This window comes from Homo sapiens, chromosome 5 (assembly GCF_000001405.40).
Source record: "Homo sapiens chromosome 5, GRCh38.p14 Primary Assembly".
Taxonomy (NCBI): domain Eukaryota; kingdom Metazoa; phylum Chordata; class Mammalia; order Primates; family Hominidae; genus Homo; species Homo sapiens.
Window position 1 is genome coordinate 135,687,329 of NC_000005.10, and position 23,639 is coordinate 135,710,967.

Below are 23,639 nucleotides of genomic sequence, written 5' to 3' on the forward strand. Positions count from 1 at the left end.
CTCTATGATTTTACAATGGCACTTAGAATTACAGTATTTATACATGCAAAATGCTCCATTTATCTGCCAAGAAACATGGTGATCCAGACAAATCAGATTTCTGTGTAACTGAGATTTCTGTGTAACTGAGGCTTGATATTTAAATATTCATTTTATTTTTCTAACACTATTGTTATGACTCAAAGCATTTTTGAAATCTTTTATAATTTCCTTTATGTCAATTCAGGTCAAGTCTTTTTTTTAATGTTGCTGTTTTAATAAAGATATCTTCCCTTTCCTCCTTAGTAAATAGCACCTTAGACACAAGTCACAATTTCATAAAGACTTAGAGTTATCTTTGTAAACAGACATTGTTTTCCTGGATTCTTGTATTTGGTAATGTTCTCAGGGCTCTTGCAGAGTGAAATGGATGCTGACTGTTCTGTTTTTACTAACAATTCTTCTCCTCTCCATGTTTATTGCATGGCTTTACTTTTGTCTGTTTTTGTCCTGAGTGTGGCTTATTGCATATGGGCTTTCTGATAACTACTTACTTTTCTGGGGTCTTTTTTCCCAATTATTTTTAAATTGTGGTAAAATGCACATAATATAAAACCATATTAACCATTTTAAGTGTACAGCTCAGTGGTATTAAATACTTGACACTCATTAATGTTGTACAGCCATCTCCCCCATCCATCTTCAGAACTCATTCATCTTGTAATTCACCCCTTCCCCAGCCCCAGCAACCGCCAAGTCTAGTTTCTGTCTGTGTGATTTTCACTACTCTAAGTACCTCACACAAGTGCAATCATACCGTATTTGTCTTTTTGTGAATGGCTTATTTCACTTGGTATTATGCCCATAAGATTCATCCAAGTCATAGCCTGTCAGGAGTTCTTCCCTTTTTAAGGCTGAATAATATTCCGTCATATGTCTATATCACATTTTGCTTATCCATTCATCCACCAATGGATATTTGGATTGCTTCCATGTTTCTCTCAGGCTTTTTTTTTTAACAGCCTCTGTGGATACAGTTGAATAGTTGACTTTATTGGTGTTCTGATCTCTAGATAATCCAGATATTCCTGTAAGAGATTTTGACTTAGGATCCAAAGTGCTCCTTGTGTTTCACTGCATGAATGTCTATGAAGAAGTTCAGCAACACTGAAGAAGTCATAGAATGATTTATTGCAGCTTAAACACACACACACACCATGGAAAGAAATTGCAAAATAACTTATTCCATGAGGGAACATTGCTATCCAGGGAATATTGATTTGAGCATTCACATTCCCTGTAAACATGCTGAAAAAACAAAGGCTAAAACGCCAACACTCTGTGAAAAGCCAACATTCATCCCATGCAATGGGATTCAGTGGAAAAGCAGGCCCTGAAGGCTGGGTTGGGCATGAGTTCATCGAGATGCAATTCTAGCTGCCACTGGTGCAGAGGAGAGTGGTAAATTGTACAATGGAGAGATGCTTTCACCAGCAGCTGCCCCCACTCCAGCCTGGCTGAACCCTCACTGGGAGTCAATGTCAATGGGAGCCAATGGGACCATGTCCAACCATATAATCAAATAATAATAATAATAGCTATCATTCTTTGAATGCTTACTGTGTTTCAACTCTTCACATATGTTTCTGAGTGCATCCTCACAACAGTCTTATAAGACAATATTATTATTTCTGCCTTACAGATGAGGTAACTAAGACTTAGATAGATTAATTAATAAGATCAAGGCTACATAGCTAGTAAGTTTGTCTAGCTTCCGAGTCTGTGAGCCTAACCACTATGCTTTGCTGCTTCTGATCATTGGTTTGCATGAAATCAATGAGATAAGCCAAATACTCTCCTGATGGCCTTTGGCAGCAAGGAACTGGGTGCCTCAGACCCTCTTGGACCTATCAGTCCCTTCTGTTTCATAGGGAGGCCTCATCCAAGTCTTAAGAGGGAATCTACAGGCACAGGCACTCTCTTAACTGTAATCCCTGAGAACTGGAGCACCTGTTGTGATTCTCCATACAATAGACCCTCCTTCTACAGCCCATGGTTTTGGGGAAGGAATCAGATAATTGGTCAATTGAGGTTTGTGTTCAATATGGATCATCCCAAGTGAGGCAGCACCGGCACCTGGTGACAGCATACATACATTGTTGAATAAGTGTCTAAAGTAAAAGAAAGGGCCTTGAGAGCTGAAGAGCTGGATGTGCAAGTTCAAATGCTATATCACAGAGTCCTACAGTAATAGAGGTGCCTTTTCAAAGATCTATTTTGTGCATTCATGCATTTGGATCTACACAGATTGAGGATTGCAGGTGGTTCTTGCTTAGAAACCTGAAGGTCCTAAAACTCCATTGTGCCGACTCATTTCCTTGTTGGTAAAAGAGGAGAGATGAGCTTGAAAGTGCCTGTCTCTGTAACGCTGAATTGTGCAAGACATTTCCCGAAAATAGCTTACAAGAGCAACCCAGCTATGCTGTTAGAGGAAAAGTGATCTTCCCATCATGGAAATGAAGATACGATTTTATTCAAATTGGCAAATATGAACCCACTCCCATTCTATTCCAGGTTATTTTATACAAAAATGCTTTAAGACATAGTTGCTGTCCTTGAGGAGTTTGTGTCTGCCTGGGGACTTGGGGACGAGGACTGGGTAAGGAGAGGAGCAAGGGGCGCTGAGGAAAGAGCACTTATTTGGGTCAGCCAGACATGTACATTCGAACTAGGGTGACCCACTGCCTCGGTTTGCTTGGGGCTGGGGGGTTTCCTAGGATGCAAGACTTTCAGTGCTAAAACCAGGATGGTTCCAGACAAACCAAGACAAGTTGGTCACCCCAAAAATTAGTAAACCTCCCTATGCCTCCGTCTTCTTATCTGCAAAATGGAGATAACAACAAATTCTTCAAGTTCATGTATGGGAGAAGTGAATGTGGGAAGACTCATAATGCATGTGGCATTGGGAGCATGGGTGTAGGAATCCTTTAATATATTATGGAGGGATGAAAATCACATAGAGCAGTGGAATGTTCAGGAAAGAACAAAGCCAGCATAAGCCAAAGAGAACTGGGGAAGGCTGCATGAAGGTAAGCGTGCTCCAGAGGGGCCTTGAAGAACTAACAAGGCTGGGTCTGAGATTGTATGAGGAGATTTGATTATCTTGGAGTAAAACATGAGTGATTCTAGAAATAACTTCTTCCCTGCTACAAGCCACTTGTGTTTTGCAGGGTTTAGCTACTGCTCTGCTATGATTTGCAGCCCCCACCTGTCCCTGCTTTTCCTTGGGATTCTCTTATGCTGTGCCATCAGCTGAGCCCTCCCTTCCCAAAACACCTGCTCATTAACAGGCCACCCGCCCCTCCCCATGAGAGGTGTCTGGTGAGCCAGGATTAGGGAAACTTAAGCTCAGAGAGGTTGAGTGACTTGCCAAGAATCACCCAGCAGATCAATTTTGAATCCAGAAACAGGAACCAGATGTCCACACCTTACTCTGTGCTGGCTTTGGAAGGCGGAGTGTGGGGCCCAAGAGGCCCCAACAGAAAGGGTGAGCTCCTCTGGGAGAGACCAAGAATTCCAAAGCTGTCCTGTAATTCATGGTCAGAATTTCTCCCAAAGTGTGTCTTCAGGGAAGGCATTTTTTTTTTTTAATAAAAATCAGCTTTGAGGATCCCCAACTGAGTTTGGAAGTTTTACATATGAATTTCTGACTTGTCGTTTAAGAAAAGATGCCACGAGTGAAATCAATGAATTAAGGATTTGGCATAAGCTGTATCAAGTATCAAGTAATGAGCTTTCCGTTTCCCGTCACACATTCAGCGCTTCTCGATTCAGCCCAAATTGGCAAGAATCAAGCTGGTTATTAAAGCAAAACCTGGAAAAGGCAATTAAGCACTCCCAGGGTTAAAAGGTTGGATCCAGTGGAAACAAGAGTCATAAATTTTACTCACAGATAGACCTGCTATTCAGAGGCTGTGGCTTTCAAACACAGACACATATGAGGAGGAGGGCTTCTTGCTCAGAGCTGGGTGATAAAAAGCACGGGTTGTATGGGAGTCCTTCCTGGGAACCCAGTCCCGTGCTCTGCCCTGCTTCAGCAGGAGGAGGGAAGGTGGGAAAGAGTCAGGGTCTCCAGGGCAGCTTGGTGTTGCTCTACATGCTTCCCTGGAAGAGCCAGGCACTGCATGGGGCATCTTGTGTGTGCCTCTTCTTGGGCATTTAGAAATAGTCTGAGACACCATCCCCACTTGCCCAGGACTGAGGGGTATCCTGGATGAAGGGCTTTCCATACTATAACTAGAAGAGTCCCAGGCAAACTGGGACAAGTTGGATACTCTATAAATGACCTTGCTCTTTTTGCAAGATTCCTTATTACCTGCCCTCAAATCTTGCAAGATGTCTAAAACCAAAGATGCTGGATTTAGACTTCGTGCCCACACCTCTAGAGCTGTAAAGTGGAAATCACATATTCCACCTGGGGTTGTGTAAGGCTTAAGTGAGATTAGGTAGATGAGTGCTGAGCATGGGACACGGACTCTGACACAGTTGCTGAACAGCTGCAGAGTCCATGTATCATCTGGCCCTTGCTCAAGTGTGGTTGGTGTCAGGAGCCTTCCTCTCAACCCTGCAGCAGCCCAGAAACATGGCTCAGAGAAGTCCAGAGTCCTGCCCAAGAGCTACGTGAGTTGTGTTCTTCAAGCTAACAAATCTTTAAAAAAGAGGTAGGCAGTCCGGGCGCGGTGGCTCACACCTGTAATCCCAGCACTTTGGGAGGCCGAGGCAGGCGGATCCTGAGGTCAGGAGATCGAGACCATTCTGGCTAACACGGTGAAACCCCATCTCTACTAAAAATACAGAAAAATCAGCTGGGTGTGGTGGCATGCGCCTGTAGTCCCACCTACTTGGGAGGCTGAGGCGGGAGAATTGCTTGAACCCAGGAGGCAGGGGGTTGCAGTGAGCCGAGATCACACCACTGCACTCCAGCCTGAGTGACAGAGCAAGACCCCGTCTCAAAAAAAAAAAAAAAAAGGTAGTCAGTAGCTCGTGCTAGTTCTTTGTCTGGCAGTGGGATTCTTTTCGGATGAGCCAAAAGGAGGGCCAGTGTTTCACAGAGAATCAAATGTGCTGCCCTGAGAATGGCTTAATCAGTTTTCTGATTAAACATATTTTGAAAAATCTGCATCATGCAGGTGGAAAAATAGACAATCAAGATGGGTTATAGATTTAAGGAGGCTCTTTTAGTGTTCAAGAATTTGATCTCACTTTGTCCTCTCAGAGGGTTATTTGCTATTAAAAAGTGCCCCAGACAGAGGAGAAGTCACGGGAAAGGTAGGAAATGCCGTCTTTGAGAGCTTAGAGGAGCTGTCTTCTTGCATGTCTTAATCTCTTTGGAAAAAGTTACATAGCAGAGTATCTCACTCCAAATTTACATGCAATGCAGCCATCCATGGTGATGCTGTTTCTGCTAATAATCTAGCAATTAAAATAGAATGTGGCTGCTAATTAAACCTGCCACTCAACTAAGAGATGAATATCTGTTTTCCAATGGAGCTGGATTTGATCCTGCCTGCCTTCCACTGAGCTGAAGACTGAGATTTGGATTAGAATATAAGGTCCAATGAGTAAAGGTCCTCTAAGTGCTTTAAATTTTCCTCCTTTGAAGATGAAACCTTAATACCAGTTAAGATCAAATTAAATGCTCAAAACAAATTATCTTAAATTTCAAAAGTGTTTGTGTTTGGGATGCATTTTCATTGGTTCCATCATTCAGTGTACTTTTTCCTTGTTTGATTCTATTTGTGAGTGGAATTTTAATAACTTAAGATGTTCATGGTTTTTTAAAAATTTAAACTGTCTTCATATTTATATTTAATTAAAACTTCTACATTTGGCTTGGTATATTAGCAGGGATCTAAAGGCTGCATAGTCTACTGTGGTAAATGTTGACAAGAAGACTCTGGGTTGGAAACCTGTTTCAGTTGCTGTAAAGTTAGTGAATTTTGCATGAGGTCAAAGAAAGGAATGGGTCAGGCCTGAGTAGGCTGAGCAGTTCTCCTTGGTAGGGGCTGCCCTGTGAGCTCCACACTGAGGGGAACTGATTGGAATATGGGGACTGGTTCTGCCTAGTGACTCAGTAGCCTGAGAGGCTCAGCTACAAAGAAGAGGAAGATGCGGTGGTATGCCAGGTCTCTCTAATGTGTCCAGGCTTGCCAGCCTTGGGTAGGATTGACATGTGTACCTCCACAATCTTCTCCTGTGCTCAGGGCAGATATCACTAATCCATTACTTCACTCTTTCCTGTTGAGGCAAGACAGGCGCTGAAGCCCTGTTACCACCTGACACCACCCGTGCCAAGCAGCCACTACCAACTGAATGGAATTGACACCAGAGTGAAACATAGCTGCCCTCCTGGCTTTGCAGCAACCTGTCTGGGCATCTGCCATGGGAAAAAGGAGGGGGTCTGAGGGAATAGAGGAGGAAGGGCTGTCGGGGAGCAACCGTCCACAACCTGAATGAGGCCTGCTGGGTCCCTGCCCCTCACAGTGCGAAGGCGTGTGGGGCGATGGGCCTCCCCAGCCTCCCAGACAAGCCATAAGCCTCTCAGACTCTTTGTTCTGCAGGTTTCTGGGGTCAGCAGAATGAAACATTCTGGAGAAAAAAAAGCATTTCTTTACCAAGTGGTTTAGGAGATCCACTTGAAAGGCTGCGATGAGGGTGTGCCTGGTGAGCTCTAGGCGCTGAGCCCACCTTTTCCACCCTGCCAGGGGTGTCTTCCTAGACAGAATGTCTCACAGGAAGCCAAACAGCCACACGGTGGGCAGGAATGAATGGCTGGGCCTGCACAGAGACTGGGAGGGACTTTAAAGAAGACTCTTGGCTTCTGGATGAAACACCACGGGTCTCCTGGGCGGCCTGGTATGCTGTATTAACTATTTTTATTGAACCGCTGAGTACACAGATGTGTCCCGCCCACACAGGCTTCCAGAGGCCCCATCCTAGCCACAGGCTCTGTGGAGGGAGGGCTGCAGAGGTTAAAGCCATTTGAACCGTTTCCACCTTGAGGTACCTGAAGATGAAACCAGCTCCCCGTTAGAAATATCTAAGCATCCTTTATATATTTACATATTTAGGGATGTAAAATGGCTCCCCAGAAGCGGCTGCAAACAATAATGTTAAAATAAGAACTCTGTCAGCTCCCATTACTCTACTTTGCCTTTTGCTCCCTGGAAATTCATTAGCCACGTGGAAGCCACATTGATTATTTTATTTATTTATTTATTTACTTTTATTTTTATTTTTATTTTTTTGAGACAGAATCTTGCCTGTCACTCAGGCTGGAGAGCGGTGGCATGATCTTGGCTCACTGCAACCTCCAGTTCAAGCAATTCTCCTGCTCAGCCTCCTGAGTAGCTGGGACTACGGGCACATGCCACCATGCCTGGCTAATTTTTGTATTTTTAGTAGAGATGAGGTTTCGCCATATTGACTAGGCTGGTCTCGAACTCCTGACCTCAGGTGATCCACCCACCTTGCCCTCCCAAAGTGCTGAGATTATAGGTGTGAGCCACCGTGCCCAGCCCAGATGGATGATTTTAGAATTTAATTCTTCAAAGGCTTCCCAAGCCACTTAGTGTGAAATCCCAGCTCCTCACTGAGAAAACATACAGGCTGGGCATGAGCCAGCTGCTTGGGCCCATCACCCACCTCTCCTCCTGGCAGCCCTCGGCTTTGCATTTGCATCTTCCTGCTCCTCAAAGCACCAACCTTGTTCCTGCCTCACCTCGGGCAGCTGCGCTAGCTGGTCCCTCTGCCTGTACCTCTCTTCCCTGGATACTTGCGGGGTGGCTGCTTCTTGTCATTCATGAGTCAACTCCAAGTCCCCTCTTCAGAGACTGTCCCTGTCCATCCAGTCTGAGGTAGTGGCCTTCCCTTCCTCCAAAACCCTTCTGTGCTATTGCCCTGCTCTGTCTTCGCAGCCATCTGAAATTCTTGTGCTTTTTATGTTTTTCTTGCTTACTGTCAATCTCCTCTACAAGAATATAAGATCTATGAGAGCAAATCTGGTGCCTGGCACAGAGTCTGTTCTCAATAAGAATTTGACAACAGAAAAATTTGCTGGGTTTCCTGGGATCAGATAATTGTTTTCTTTCCCTGTATTTTCCCAGCATGCTTTGCAGGTGGCAGGTTGCAATGGGCACAGCCCCAGTCCTCCTGCCCCTGGTATGCCAAAATGATGCATGCACAGGCCTCGGTGGCCCTTCTCCCTTCAGCCCCTGCTCAACACTGAGAATGCACTGCCTCCCACCCACAGGGGTCTCTCTCTGGCCAGCCCCCACCTCGGGCAGCTGTGCTGGCACTTTCCTCCCATCTCCTGTGCTGGAGGCGGCTGTGTTTCTTCTTGGACCCCAGCCGGAGGACAGAGGCTCCTGGGAGTCTCCCCTCTGATGCTGGCCACATGTTTTTGCTCCTGCCCCGACCTTCTCTCCAGGATATGGGCCCTTGGGTTCAGAAGTAAACAAATTCCCAGCAGCTCTGGGATGGGAGGGAGGTCAGCTCTTAATCTTAGTCACTTGGCAAGAGAGAAAATGCAAAAGTCTCTCCAAAAGCAGGATGTTTGCCCCTTCACAGCTGAGACAGCCCATCCTAACCCAAGAGGACACAAGTCTGCAGTCTTTACCATCTGCCATGACATAGGGCAAATCCTGCTGCACACTGACCTCTCTGAGCCTCAGTGTCATCACCCACAAATGGGCATGGCAATAGCATTAAAGCCCAAGGGCGACTGTGGAAAGTAAACAGTGCAACACATGCACAGAAAGTGCCTGGCTCAAGCTCAGTATCAAATATCTGGGAATGTCAGGAAGTGTCAGCAGAATGCATTGCAGCAAGACCACCAGGTAGGGACCAGATTGACTTGGTGCACAGGGGATGAGCCAAAGAGGGGTGAGGCAGAGCCCTCCCTTCTGCTACCAGTTGAGGGCAAGCTGGGGACATGCGTCATCTAGGGACCACTTTAATGCAAAACTTGATAGTACTGTCAGGATGTTAGGTGCTCTGAGTGAGAAAGATCACTTATCTTGGATCACCTGTGCCAAATTCTGTGCCAGATACACAGTAGGTGTGAAGGAAGAGAGAGACAGTCCTGGCAGTGAATTCCAGAAGGGCAGGGATGCTCAGTGAATGCTGGGTGAGTGAATGAATGAATGAATGAATGAATGATTAAATCTAGAATCTTGGTCTCCTTGGCTCCCTGTGCTCTCTCTGCTGGGCCCTTCCCTACCTGCCAAAGCAAATCCACACAATGGAACTAGGACAGGTCCTGGATTGTCACTGGAGGCAGGTTCTAACCTTGGAGGAGACCCAACTGGGAAACTCTGCCACATTGTCCCAGTTCCTATTGAGGCTTCATTCACTCATTCCCTGTACACCTGCGGGAGGCCTCCAGGTATGCTCAGGGCTAGCCTGGGTCTTCCATACTGGGAAGCAGCTCCAGCCAAGCCTTTCCACCTCCTGCCAATCACTATGCCCAGTGCAGCCACAGGGGAGCTGGGTATGAACTGAAGGAGCAGGGAGATGGGGCTGGGAAAGGGCCCCTGGGGATGAGGCATTGGACAATTAAAATTTCATCTCCCAGTGTCTACCTCAAGGAGAAAAGAAAGGTAACAGTAGGATAATTGAATTTTTTAAGAAGAGAAAGAAGCAGAATGCCTAAGTGTTTAAAAAGCTCTATTTAAATTTCTTGTCTGTAGCATGTACTCTAACCTATAATTATGGTTTTGAAAAAAAGGATAATTATGAAAATTTCTGGGCTCATTAAAGACATACAATTGACATCCAAAATTATTTGAGTTAGAAATGATGCTGGAATGTGTCTCTTTTAAGAGACTCCGAGGAAGGAATTTTGCTTTTTAAAACTCTAAGTTCCAGATTAACCCTGAGTGTCACGGGTCACCTTAGGTAATGGTTCCCTCCAAAGGAGAGAGGCAACACAGAGGCTGCCCCTCCACAGTGCTATCTCAGCTTGGCTCAGCTCAGCTCTGCTCAGCTCTGCAAGGGTTGTTGGGCTTGGTAGGTGGTGATTTTCTGGTGCTTCCCACACAGGGTGGTCACAGCTCCTTGAGTCAAGGGCTGTCTGAGAGCCATGCTGGCTGCGTGTTTTGCTGGCTCATGACCTTGGCACATCTTTTCCCTTTTTGAGGAGTTAGACCAGTGGGAGTGTGCCCAGCTGGAAAACCTCCTTTGCCAGAGACTGGACCCTGTCCTTCTGTGAGCCCCAACTGCACACTCTCATCCCCTGTGCCAGTGCCATGATAAAAGTACCAGGTCCTACATAACGGGAAGGTAGACAAGTTGTATGTCAGATGTGCCAGCAGAGCCAGTGGCATTCAGGTTGCAGGCAGGTGCTTCCTGGAGACACAGGACGTGCCAGCAGCCTTCTCCCAGGGCCTGAAAGAGAGCTGTTCCTGGTGTATCTCCAGAGTGATAGGAATGCATCAGCAGGCTCCTGGCTGCCAGGTGAGCTGCCAGGGTTAGGCTCTCAAAAACTGGGCTGCAGGCATTTGTTCCCAAGATCACAACCTCCAAAGGCCTCTCTTCCTGGCTTCATGAGAAACCCATCCCCTCACGGCTTCCCATTGCCTCTGACCCAGGCTCCCACCTCACCTTGCCCTGGACCTACCACCCCAACTGTCCAGATTGTCACTGGGCCATGCCAGGGACTCTGACGTTCACAGCAATCAGGCCTCGCCACCTTTAGGTCTGCATCTACCTATGAGGAGCTGCCTAAATCACATTATCTACCAAGTTGTCAGTGCAGGGAGGCCTCTAACAACCAGCTGGGCTTCACGGGGGTGAGGGTCACCTGACACCCTCAGTGCTGTCTCCTAATGGTCACCATAAGGCCCTAGGCTGGGACCTGCTATGGTTCTCATGGTCACTGTAAGGTCACATTGTGGTGATTTGAGTTGGTAACAATCAGCTTAGTGCCCCATGGTTGGACACAGGGAAATCAACTTAGCTTTTTCTTTGGCTGGTGGTTCTTAAGCCAGCTCTCTGTGGCCTGTTGTCAGTCAGCAGAACTATGTGGCTGGGTCAAAGCCATGACTCTAACAAAAGTCTTTTCTTAGAACTGATACTATCTTCAGCCTGAAGCTTAAGAAAAGTCTGATCCTATAAAGAACTTGAGTGTTTCCTTATGGCTCTGAGCAACCACTACAGTTTTTAAAAATAATAATAATTTGAGATGGATCATAAGCCTAAATATAAAACCTGGAACCAAAAAGCTTCTTGAAAAAAAGATATTGGAAAGAATATCTTTATAATCTTGGGGTAAGCAAAGATTTCTTAGATAGAATACAAAGGGCACTAGCCGTAAAAAGAAACAAGAATAAACTGGTCATCAACAGTAAAAGTTTCTGGTTTTCATCCTCAGAAGATACCAATAAAGAAATGAATAAGTCATTTGAAATACATATATTTGAAATACATACATCTGATCAAGGAATTATATCCAGAATATATATTTTAAAACTTCTGTGGATCAGAAAAAAGGACAAACAAGTTAATTTATAAAATGAGAACGGAGATCTCACAAAGGAAGATATGTGAATGGCCAATGCACTCATGAAAAGATGCTCCAGATCATTAGTCATCAGGGAAATGCAAATCAAACCCATCCTAAAATATTAACTCACACCCAATAGAATGATGAAAATAAAAAGGACGGGTAACACCAAATGCTGGTGAGGATATGGAATGAATGGAACTCTCATACAATACTGGTAAGAACATAAATGATAAAACCGCTTTGGAAAACGGTTTGGCAGCATATCTATAATATGACCCAGTGATTTGATTTCTAATTATTTACCATAGAGAAGTAAAAACATATGTCCGTACAGAGACTTATACAGGAATGTTTATAGCAAACTTATTTATAATAGCCGGAAGCTGGAAACAAACCAAGTGTTCAACAGGAGAATAGATTTTTAAATGTGATGTGTATACATTACGATGTGATATTATGCATCAAGGAGAAAGAACAAACTACTAACACCTGCAACAATATGGATGAATCCCCCAAAAACATTACGCTGGGAAAAAAAAAAAGCCAGACATGGAAGAATGAGACCAAGAGATACATGACATGATTCCATTTACATGAAGTACTGGAATAAGCACAACTTGTCTACGATGATGGAAAAGTTGCCTCTGGGAGCAAGGAGGCAGAGCGTGATTGAAAAAGGGCACGAGGGAACTTCCAGGGTGACTGGAAATTGGGTCTGTACAATTATCAGCACTCATCAACTGGAACACGTGAGATCTGTGCATTTTATTATGTGTAACATGTTCTATATTTCATAACTTGATTTTAAAAACAATGGTAATAGCCAGCATGGACTGAAGACTCCCTCTGTGTAGCACAGTGATAGACTGCCTAGTGAGGGTCTCAGCAATGCTCACAGCCACCTGCTTGGTAAGTGTTGAGAGAGGAGCTTCTTAGTCATGCAGCATGCATTATTATCTGGTTCTTTAATATCCAGTCTCTTATTACACTTTCCAGTGCTCCCTGAAAGCTTGTATCAAAAGCTATCCTGACACCCTGTTTTTACCCAATGAGGAGATGGAGTCTCTGAGGGGTTACAAAGCCACTGAATGGTGGAGACAGAATCTCAACTCCGTGGCCTGAAGCCTTATTCCCTTTAATTCTGTCTGCCCCTCATTTTGTTATCTCTGAGTCCCCACCAGCATTTGACACATGGCCTTGCAGTCCTGCACTTAGAAAATGGTATTGGGCTGAGCACTGTGGCTCATGCCTGTAATCCCAGCACTTTGGGAGGCCAACTCCTGAGGTCAGGAGTTCGAGATCAGCCTGGCCAACATAGCAAAACCCCATCTCTACTAAAAATACAAAAATCAGCCGGGTCTGGTGGCGTGTGCCTGTAATCCCAGCTACTTGGGAGGCTGAGACAGGAGAATTGCTTAAACCCAGGAGGGGGAGGTTGCAGTGAGCCGAGATCATGCCACTGCACTCTAGCCTGGGTGACAGAGCAAGACTCTGTCTCAAAAAAAAAAAAAAAAAAAAAAGAAAGAAAGAAAAGAAAATGATATTGGACTGAAAATGTGAATTTTAGTCAGCCAAATATTGAGTGAATGCCTGCTAAACATCAAACGCTATGCTAGGGGCCGAGGACAGCAATGAAGGAGGGTGCCCAGCCTCTAGAGCCCATCTCTGGGAGAGGCCCCCACGGGCAGATGTCTGGTGGCCCCTGTGTGTTTGCTGTTCCTTGTGTTCCTCCCTGGCTGTCTCCAGCCCTAAGGCCCAGGCTTAGGTTTTATATTTTGTGGCCCAGGTTGTAAATACTGTTCTCAATGGTGCAGGCACCCTCCTCTCTTCATAGGCACCCTGTCTGAGGGAGAGTTCTGCAGTCCCCTCAGGCTCTGGGTGCCTACCTGGGCCTCTGCATGGCTCCCCATGTCTGCAGCTCTAGCAGGGGTGCACCTACCAGTAACAACACAGTGGATACCACTTGTGCACGTGCTCCGAGGCCTGCCAGGCCTGCCTCTGCTCCCAGCTGCTAAGGCAGATTTGGTGCAGGTTGAGGCATGACAGGGTCTCATAAATCGCAGAGGGCCTGGGACCTGGGGGAGCTCACTTTCCTGCCTTGGAATCAGGAGGCAGCTCTGCTGGGCTCCATCCTGCCTATAGATCTGGCAATGGGCCATCCTCCACTGCACAGAGTGACCTGGGGACCTGCAGCTCTCCCCACTCCTAGAGTATTGTCAGCCACCAGTTCCAGTAGTAATGGGCCGAGTAGCACCCATCTTCCTCAGAGTGTGGGCCGTCAGTCCTCCAGTCAAGAACCCCCAGGACTGATGCTCAGCCTGCCTGCCCTGGTCCACTTGGCCCAGGCTGTGTACCACCCTGCTCTCCCCTCATCGTCTCTGATTACTGGGAACCAAAGCTTCAGTGACATGGCTAGTGATGGCTCCATCTAGGTCACATCCTGAGGTTCAACAACTTCACATCTTGGGAGTTTTTTTCTGATAATCACCTCTACCCTGTTCTCACCCTCCTTGTTACCAAAGTTAGCCAAACTGCCTATGTCTAAGCAGGGGACCTGGTGACATATTGGGAGCAGTATTTTGAGGAACATAACTCCCCCCCGCCACCGGCCCCCACCACATATACACCCTGAACACTGAATTGCATATTGCAAAGCTTTTGCTGTGCATTTTCTCATTCATTCCCAATGTCATCCTTTAAGGTACACAATAAAGGACTGTCCCTCCCACTTTTAAAAGAGACAGGCCCCAAAACTCTTGGTAGCATAGGCCATGGCCTTTGATAGTGTCTGAGCCAGCAGACTAATAGGCAGCCCATGCTCCATGTTCCCTCGGCAAGGTCCTCATGTGGTCCAGATCTGGGCATTCCTCATATGTGGCTGGATGGGCTATATGGAGTGTATCCTTGGGTGAACTCGAGATGGAACCCAGCAAGATCAAAAGAGAAGCTGTCTTGCCCCTGCCAACCTGTCCTCCACATGGAAACAAGAGTGATTATTTCCTTCTAAAAAATTAATCTGACCATGTCACTCTTTTGCTTAACATCCTTATTGTGTGCCCAGGCACTGGGCTCCATGCTTTATATATTTATCTCTTTAATCTTGCAACAATTCTAAGAGGTAGGTGTTAGGATGTTTACATATGGATGAGAAAGATGAGCCTGGAGATACTGCATTTACTAACTTGCTGGAAATCATAGCAATTGCAGGGGTGGGAATTTGGCTACAAAGTCTATACATTGAGCCACCTCATGAACTGCTTCCTGCTTTTTCATTTTTCTCTAACTTACCTCTAGTGGGTTCCATAATATCCTCCCAAAAGATATGTCCACGTCCTAATGCCTGGTACCTCTAAATGTCACCTTATTTGCAAATGGGTCTTTGCAGGTGTAACCAAGTTAAGACGAGGTCATGCTGGGTTAGGGTAGGCCCTATATCCAATGACCAGTGTCCTTATCAGCAGGCCATGTGAAGACACAGAGACACAGGGAGGATGCCATGTGATGACAGAGGCAGGGATGGGAGTGATGCGTCTATAAGCCAAGGAAGGCTGAGGATTGCCAGCACCCACCAGAAGGTGGGAAGAGGCAAGAGCGGATTCTTCCCTGGGACCTTCAGCGTGAACACGGCCCTGCCAATCCCTTGATTTTGGATTCCTGGCCTCCAAACTATGAGATAACAAATTTCTATTGTTTTAAGCCACAGGCAAAGTTTGTGGTACTTTGTGATGACATCTGTAGAAAAGCAATGGACCATTTTATTCTTACAGTCAGGAGAGTCTGGACCATACCTGGTGCTGTGTCCTCCTCCTGGAGATTTTCAATGCCCAGCCACATAGGAAAGGCTCTGAGAAGTACCAAAGCCAGGAAGCCTGTACAATATTGTTAAATCATGCATTTCCCAAACAAATTTGACCTTGGGATCCCATTCTCACAAAACACGTGTTAGCGTGGCGTGGAGCTGGGGCTTCCGGGAGCACCCTTTGAGAAAGGCTATTCAACACCAAACCAGCCTCCTTCGTGGCTCACACAGGGCCAGAATGGAGTCACACACAGGACCCTCTTCGGGAAAACACCTTCTTTTTGAGTGAATGTACTTGAGCTTATTCATCATCTCTGACAGCCCCTTTGCACTCTCATCAGCGCTGGAAAATAAAAGGCCTCAAGAAATTTAATAATTATAGAAATGGCTATGAAAATGCCATTCACTGTGAGCAGTGAACAAGATGGTAATATGTAATACCGGACAGGGGCCCACGGGCAAATAGCAGAGGCAGATGCACAGGCTTGTGTTGTTTTGTCTAAAGTGTGAAAGACAGAAGTCTGAAATGTGGAGCTGCTCTGTGAGAACTCCACATTAGCTTCTGCAGAGGAATTGCCCCAAAGGCAAACCTGAAATGTTCAATCACTACTCAGGGATGCTTCAGCATGCCTCCATCTCTGAGCCAAGAATGCCTCAGAGACAACCCCACACGGCAGCCCAGTGAGGCCTCCCTTTTGTTTGCAGACAAAGGGTGAGAAGCTGCCTTTTCTTACCTTCTGAGGTTGCAGATACCAAGGCCATACACTTGCTTAGTCTGCAAGGAGCTGTTTCCGCACCTGGCCCTGCCATGTTCTAACAGGGTGGGCATTTTAAAACAAGCTCTGGTAACATGCCTGGCATCCTACCACCCACAGTTTTCCCCACAACCCGTCTCTGCCTGGTTAACCTCTCAGCAAAAATATCACTTCCTCCAGGAAACCTTCCTTGACTCTCCAGTCTACTCCATTCTCCTGCTTTACTTTCTCCCCAGGAAACCTGTGAGTGCCTCCTCCTTTGAGGCACTGACTGACACCACACAGTAACTTGTTCAGTGACTGGCCCTGCCAGACCGTGGGCTCTGTGAGGACTGGATGGTCACGTTCACCACTGTGTGCCCAGCACTCAGCATGAATACACATCTGCCCTCTTCTCCAGGGCCCACTCAATCTCCACTGCCTCACCCATTAGCATCCTTTTTCTGCGTACTGTGCCCTTAAGATCTGGGGGGAAAGGACCACAGAGTCATGAGCACCCTCTTGGTTCTCCTTGCACAATGCCAGACTCAGTGTTTGGTGTTTACAGCAGCCTCACATTCTTGCAAAGATTTCCACCCTGAGGTGCAGCAAATATCTGTGTCAATTTGGACCATTCAGTTAGTGTTCTGGCTGTCACATTCCATTTTGGACCTGACTTGAAGTTATGAAGAAGGCAAAGGTTTCAGTGATGGGTTCACACACTGTTCTGGGCGGCAGAGGCTCAGCGGGAGAGAGGAGCCTCTAGCTGGAGGATGTCGGGACCAGGAGGAAGTCCTTTGCTATGGAGCAAATTCCCTGAATGTGCATACTGGTGGCAAATCAGACTAAAAACAAGGCTGTTTTCTTCACCAGTTTGGCTTCTCAGTTATATCAGATGCCCCAGCCCTGGGCCTGTCTTTAACCCAGGCTTCAAGGCTTCAGACTTTTCAAAGATCTTTCTTATGCATCAGCAGCATAGATACTTTTGTTAAATATTGACTAGGGATGGTGACAACATCTCCATCTTAAAGGAGAGAAAGCTGAGGCCCAGAGATGTGTGGTCTTTTGGCTAAACTCAGACTTGAGATTTCTGACTTCCAGATCAGTGCTATTTGGCCAGTTACTTTATGGGACACATGTAAGGGTCAGATAGGACCAAAATTAACTAGCTTTATTATTTGTTTGTTTAATATTTACTGTGTTCCAGGAAGTATGTTAAGAACCTTACATGTGTGATCTCATTTAATCTCTCTAGTAAGTCTTGGGGGTAGATATTATTATTATTCCCATTTTACAGAAAAGGAAACTGAGGGACAGAGAGGTTAAATAACTTGGCCAGCATAACACGTTAATAAGTCACAGAGCCAGGATTCAAATCCTGTACTGGCTGATGGCCAGTGATAAAGCTGTGTTCTTAACTGACTTTTCTGGACGCTTCTACAAATGTCTAGGTAGCTTCCTGGCATTAGGCAGACTGCAGTGTGTGGTCTGGGTTGATGGTACAAATCCAGCAGTGTCTCTGACTGCCATTCAGGTGTTGGGGCTGAGAGGACTGCTGAGGATAGCCTGTGATATATGTGGGCATGGTCAGGATGGCTAAATGGGGTTCCAGGAGACCTCTTGGCCAAGCAAAGATGACCTGGGACAGGGAGGGATTGGTCACTGTCTCTTGGGTCCTGACTCTTGCTTGCTAGGCTCTAAAATCCCCTGTTGACATAACCCCCGTCCTCCCTGCGGGCCTGTTCTCAGAGCTCTCAGTCCTGGACCCCTTGATTCAGAGCTCCATTCAGGCCTGCATTTTTGAGATTGACTCACAGAGAGCAGTGGCCCTTGTGGCCTCTCTAGCTCAGCGCGGAGCAAGCAGCTGCTGTCATGGCAGTCCCAGTGATGCTGTCACTGTTGATAAATGGGAAGGCTGGCTCTGCCACCTCGTCATGTGAGGCTTTGGGCATGTTCTGGAGCTTATCAGAGCTTTGATTTCTTCATCTATTAAAGTGGGGATAGTAACATTTGTCTCATGAGTCATTGTGAGGTGGCAGTGAAATAATATATGCAAGGTGATTAGCACACTGTAAATATTCCGTAAGTATTAAATGATGGCAGCAATGATGATGACAAAGCATGAGGTATGTTTCCAGCAAGTTTCAATTCAAGCTAGACCATGCACTAACATTATTTAGTGCCTACATAAGTGGTAACCTTGCTTGGAAGAACAGATGACAACATAAAAGTACCTGTATATAGTTGGCTGGAGTCAACCTTATGGTTTGTTATATCTGGGCTCTGGCTCTTAAAAACAGTGCAAGTTTGAACAAGTTACTCAGCCTCTCTGAGCCCATCCACTCAGAAGAAATTTCACCTGCAGCATGAGGACTGGGCCTTTGTTCCCAGGAGATGGAACTAAGCCTTCCCAGGGTATCGGGGATGTCCTGCTCCTGAGGGGTGGCTGGTCCCCATGGCAAAGTCTCCCATCTGGCCACACTGGCAGGGTGGCAGAGGCTGTTCTTGAGGGTGAGCTGGCCTGGCTGGAACGCAGGCTGGTTTGTACAGCAGACGTCCCACCTTTGTTCTCAAGAGTCTCTCACCTGTAACTGCTTTCTTTGAACTGGGCTGTCTCTTCCCGGCTGCCCTTCTGGTCATCGGCCCAACCCTTTCTTTTCAAAGAAAGCCTCTTCTCTGTGAGAAGGTGCCCAGACTTTGAGGCCGCCCCACTGCGCCCTTTACACCTGGCACCTGGGTAAACATAGCCTTTCTCCTGGCCACTTCCTCCAAACAGGGCCTGACTGGGCTGGGCAGCCAGGAGGGAGATGTTTGTCATGAGCCTCCAGGACTCCTGGTGACTTGTGGCAGGCCCTGGGTTACAAAAGTGATTTACACCTTCTCTGCCCTTGAGTTGGGTGTAGGAGGTACCATACAGCAAGAGCAGGATCTCAGTGCTCAGGCAAGCTTTGAATCAAATTCTGGCTCTGCTGGTCATTGCTGTTTGTTTTGGTAAAGCACTTTTAGCCTCAGGTCCCCCATCTTTAAGCTGGTTAACAATATTACCCACCTCAAAGGATTGATGGGATAAGATGCACTTAGTACAGGGTCTAACACATAAGAAATACTCAATATTTATCAACCATCATCAGCGCGTTGCCATTCTTTCTTGAGAAGCTCCCAGTTGTTATGGAGGCATGAGACCAGTGCTCTAGCGTGGCAAGTACTGGATGTGGTGTGCGCATGGAGAAAGGGCACCTAGAGCTGCCTGGATGCCCAGAAGCTACCACCAAGATGCAGTGTGAAGAGGGAGCCCCCTGGGAGGACGAGAGGGGTAAGGGGCACGGTCCCCTCCCTCAAGCCACTGATGTGCAGACAGGTCTCATCTCCCCGATTGGGTCTGCATGACAGGCAGGTCATGACACATGTCACGAAAGAGATGAGGAACACTGTCAGGCAGTGGTGGGTGAGGGTAGCAGCCCCTCTTCACTTCAATAATTGGGAAGATCTTCATGGGACAAATGGAATTCATGACGGAGTCTAAGAACAGCTACTTGTTGACCAAATAGGCCAGGTAGAGGAAAGCACAAAGAAGACATGGAAAATGCAGGAGGTGAGGCCATGGGTGTGCAGTGAGTGGATGAGTGGGCTTTGAGAGGGGGCACTTCCAGTGAGGCATGACGAAGCCAGGGCTGGGGGTGTGGGCGGCAGGGGCCCCCATGTGCTGCAGGAGAAGTGGGGTAGGGTGGAAGCTGTCCAGGGAAGCTCCCAGGGTCCTTTATTCACTTCTGTTGGGCATGGCCCTGTGTTTGGAGACTGAACTCACGGCCTGTGGACTACTGAAGGAGGGCATGTCCCTAGAGCCTGACCCCATCTGATAAGCCAGCTTTGCAGCCCAAAAAGGAGGCCTTGTGCACTCTTGCTCCTGAATGTCTCCTCTCTTCACTGAAAACCAGAGTATCTGTGGCATTTCTTCTGCTCCACTCAGAGTAAAATCCAAACTCCCACTGAGTCTGCAAGCGCCTTTGTGATCTGCCCTGCCCAGATCCCTCCCTGAGTTAGTTCCTACTCCCTCCTGCTTAATGCACTTCAGCCACTTTGGCTTCCTTGCTGTTCTTTTCAGACTCCCGCCGCCCCCGCCCTTGGGTCCCCGCAGCCCACCAAGCACACTGCTGCCCTGGAGCCTTTGCACCTGCTGTTCCCTCTGCCTGGAACACTTTCCCAGCTACTTTGTCACAGACTCCCTTTGCTCAGGTCCTTGCTCCAACATCACTCTTCAGAGAGGCCACCTGTGACCCCCTTAGCAGAAGCAGCCCCTCCTTTCCTACCCTCCTGTTTATTTCCTTATGCCCCTCATCAGTCTGAAATGACTTCAAGTATTTGTTCATGTGTTCTTTTGTTCATGTGTTGATTGTCTCTTTCCCTCAGCTTGTCTGCGAGGGCATGTAGCCAGGGAGCATGACTGTCTTGTTGATTGCTGGACTCTGGTGCCTGGCATGGAGTAGGCTTTGAGGTAGGAGAACAGTAAATACATATTTATGAGTTGAGGGATGGATGGATGGATCGATGGATGGATGGATGGATTGGCTAGTTGAGGCCTCAGTGCCTGGAGCTGAGTGTGACAGAAGATGAAGTGGCCTGGGCAGCTGGGTGCCTGGGGCTGGGACATCATTTCCCTGCTGGCTCTATGGCACTGTGACATGCACCCGCCAGCCTTCCAGGCAGCAGGGGCCTGGGATAGGGATATAGATTCTATTCGTGAGCCCCCTTTTGTTTCCTAACTTTTTATTATAGAAACTTTTAAGCACCTGCAAAAATAGAATAGCATAAACCACACCTATGTACCCATCACTCAGCTTCAACAATGAGCAGCTCCTGGAAAATCTTGTTCATCTATTCTACACCCCACTTCACCTTGCAAAAGTTATTCCAAAGCAAATCTATGAGCACCTCTTTCATGTAGAGAGCTCAGAAATACTTCCCAGCAAGTTTTTTCTGCAGGCTCCTAGTATCTCTCTCTTCCCCATGTATCCTGAGTCCTCAGGTGCTTTGTCTTCTCCCTGAGTTAAACTAGCTCTCAATAAGAGACCTGCTAAATATATTCCCATTAAGCTATAAATGTCTGAGATTTGCATGGTCACTGTAATGGTGCATTCATCCAAATTCTCTGTGTTAATGGTGGAGTGTCAGGCCCCACCCCGGTCAGGCAGAGATGACCCAGCTATCCCAGGGCAACCCTGGACCACAGCTGGGTTCGAGTCTACAACATTGCTGCTGTGGTGCCCAGAGACTGGGGTAAGGGCAATGGAAGAAGTGGTTGCTGTGAGCCAGTCAAGACCTGAGCTGGGCCTGGTTTGGGGAGAGCCCAGGTGTCTTCAGAATCATTCTTCATGACTTCTGGTGGAAGAACACATTTGAGAGAGAGCGAGTGAGTGAGTACCATGAATCCTAGTGGGGCAGGGCAGAGCAGGCACTGCTTTTGAGAAGTGGGCTGGCTCTCATCACAATCATGGCTAGATGGGCTCCCTTTCCTTGTAGAATATGACATTTGCTTTGCTTAAAGTTAGTAAAATGCCATTTTATTGGTAGTGTTTTTATTTAGGCTGCTTGACTATCCTGCCAAGGTGATTTTATTATTACAAAATGTGGAAAACTCCATTCAAAGAAGAAAATAATACAAAACAGATTTTGGTTCACATACTAAAATTCATTGGAAAATTGAGATCTCAACCCACAACTATTCATGACAGTAAAACAAAGACCCCTGACAGCTCCCAAGGTATCCAGCCCCTGAGCCCACACCAGCTCCCTGCACTGCATTGTCCTGCTGCCCACTGAGTGGCAGAACCTGAGAACTGGCCTGCCTCTGGGAAGGAACTGGAATTGGCCTGGACTCCCTAGCCTTGGGCTCTTGGGCCAATTCCTCCAACCCCACCCAAGTCCTAGACTGACTCTCTGGCCAGATTCCCCCTGAATTTTGTGGGAAGTTGTGGGAAGAGCCCTGTTGGAGGCCAGTTCTTAACCCACGGGTCCTGGCTTGCAACCATTAGGGAGCAGAATCAGCCAGAGAGCCTGATACAAATCTAAATTCTTACACCCCACCCCAAAGGTTCGGACTCAGTACAGAAAGGGCAAGGCCCTGGAATCTGCATTTTAGTAAGCTAACTCTGGTGCTTTTGAAGCAGGGCGCCGTGGACCACATCCCAGAGGCACTGCTACGACAAGAAGCACAGCATGGTGTCTAAAGGGCAGGGTTATTGGAGTTTGAAATCCTGTGTTTGAATCTTGGCTTGCTGACTATGTTACTTAACCTTTCTGAACTCTAGTTTTCTCCTTTTAAATGTATATAATAATAATATCTACATTATATGATTCCTATGGTTTGTATAAGATAATGCCTTATGAGTTCAGCACAGTGCCAGGAACATTGTAAGTACTTGGTTCATGTTGACTGCTTTATTACTATTATTTTCCATCATTCCTCAACTGCACATCTGTTCCCTACTCCCACCTTTCTCAAGAATATTATCACCTAGGTCGTTGGGTTTTTAAAAAGGCTCAGATAAACGACATTTACCAATTCCTGTGGGGTAAATTCTCCCACCATGGTCACTGTAAAGCTCACAACATGATGACATTGAACACCAAGTTGGGAAGAGATGTGCACAGTTGGCCAATATAAGCTGGTAAAAGCTGGCTCTGGCACACCAACAGGAAGTCCCCTTTCACTGTGAGGCCCCAAGTGTGTCACTGCTGCCTTGGTTGGAGCTGGTAAATGCAGAGAGGGCTGCGAGCAGAGAGTCTGATGTAACTCTACCTCCTGCTGCAAAGGGCAGCTGGTTTTCGCACAGCTTTGCAGTCTGTATGTACTCATAGCTGATGCAGGAAATGGGAATTATAGCCTCAATTACTGTCATTGGGAACCTAGAGCAGAAATTATTATCAAAGGGGTGAGACGGCTCCAGCTCACTAATATTTACCATTTGCCATGGATTGCATGAAAGGGTGTGATGCCTCTGAAGCCATTGCCGTCTCTTTTGCTGGTTCTGGTTTTGTTCCGTCTTGTTTTGATCACTGACAAAGGCAGGCTTATGTCATGAAACAAGTGTGGGTCTTGGAGCCAGACTGTCTGGGATCAAATTCCAGCACTGCTACATAACAAGATCTTTGTGACTTTGAGCAAGTTGCCTTACCTCTCTGGAGCACAGTTTGCTCCTCTGTGCAAATGGGCATATTAATGAATGCATTGCAGTATTTTCAAATTAGACTTAACATAGGTTATGTGCATAGGAAAGGACCTGGAAGAGAAAAGAAGCTCAGTGAATGTAACCTCAACCTGTGACTTCCTGGGAAGAAGGCACTGGCCAAATGGCTTCTCTGAAGCCTTTTATCCAGGTGTTTAGATGCTCACTGATAACCTAGCCTCATTTGTACAGGAGAGAAGAGTGGACAGTTTCATAATACCAAGTTTCAAAAGTTTATTTCCTCCTCGAAGTATTTTTTTCTGCATAAAGAAATATTAAGTTCTTTCCTAAAAATCCATCATGTGGATTTTTTAAACCAAATTTGGAGGATATATTTG

At 46.6% G+C, this 23,639-nt stretch overlaps 1 protein-coding gene across 2 annotated transcripts in view, besides 2 other annotated features; it reads left to right on the plus strand.

The window, feature by feature from the left end:
• SLC25A48 (solute carrier family 25 member 48) overlaps nt 1-23,639 on the plus strand; it is a 309,466-nt gene that overhangs the window by 108,157 nt on the left and 177,670 nt on the right. The gene's annotated exons all lie outside the window — the stretch shown is intronic.
• Nucleotides 6,050-6,551: an enhancer, noted in NCBI's record as "H3K4me1 hESC enhancer chr5:135029067-135029568 (GRCh37/hg19 assembly coordinates)". NCBI's record gives its function as "activates a minimal SCP1, AML or CMV promoter by ChIP-STARR-seq in naive and primed H9 embryonic stem cells {active_cell/tissue: H9 hESC(naive and primed)}" and the evidence as "EXISTENCE:reporter gene assay evidence [ECO:0000049][PMID:30033119]".
• Nucleotides 6,552-7,051: an enhancer, noted in NCBI's record as "H3K4me1 hESC enhancer chr5:135029569-135030068 (GRCh37/hg19 assembly coordinates)". NCBI's record gives its function as "activates a minimal SCP1, AML or CMV promoter by ChIP-STARR-seq in naive H9 embryonic stem cells {active_cell/tissue: H9 hESC(naive)}" and the evidence as "EXISTENCE:reporter gene assay evidence [ECO:0000049][PMID:30033119]".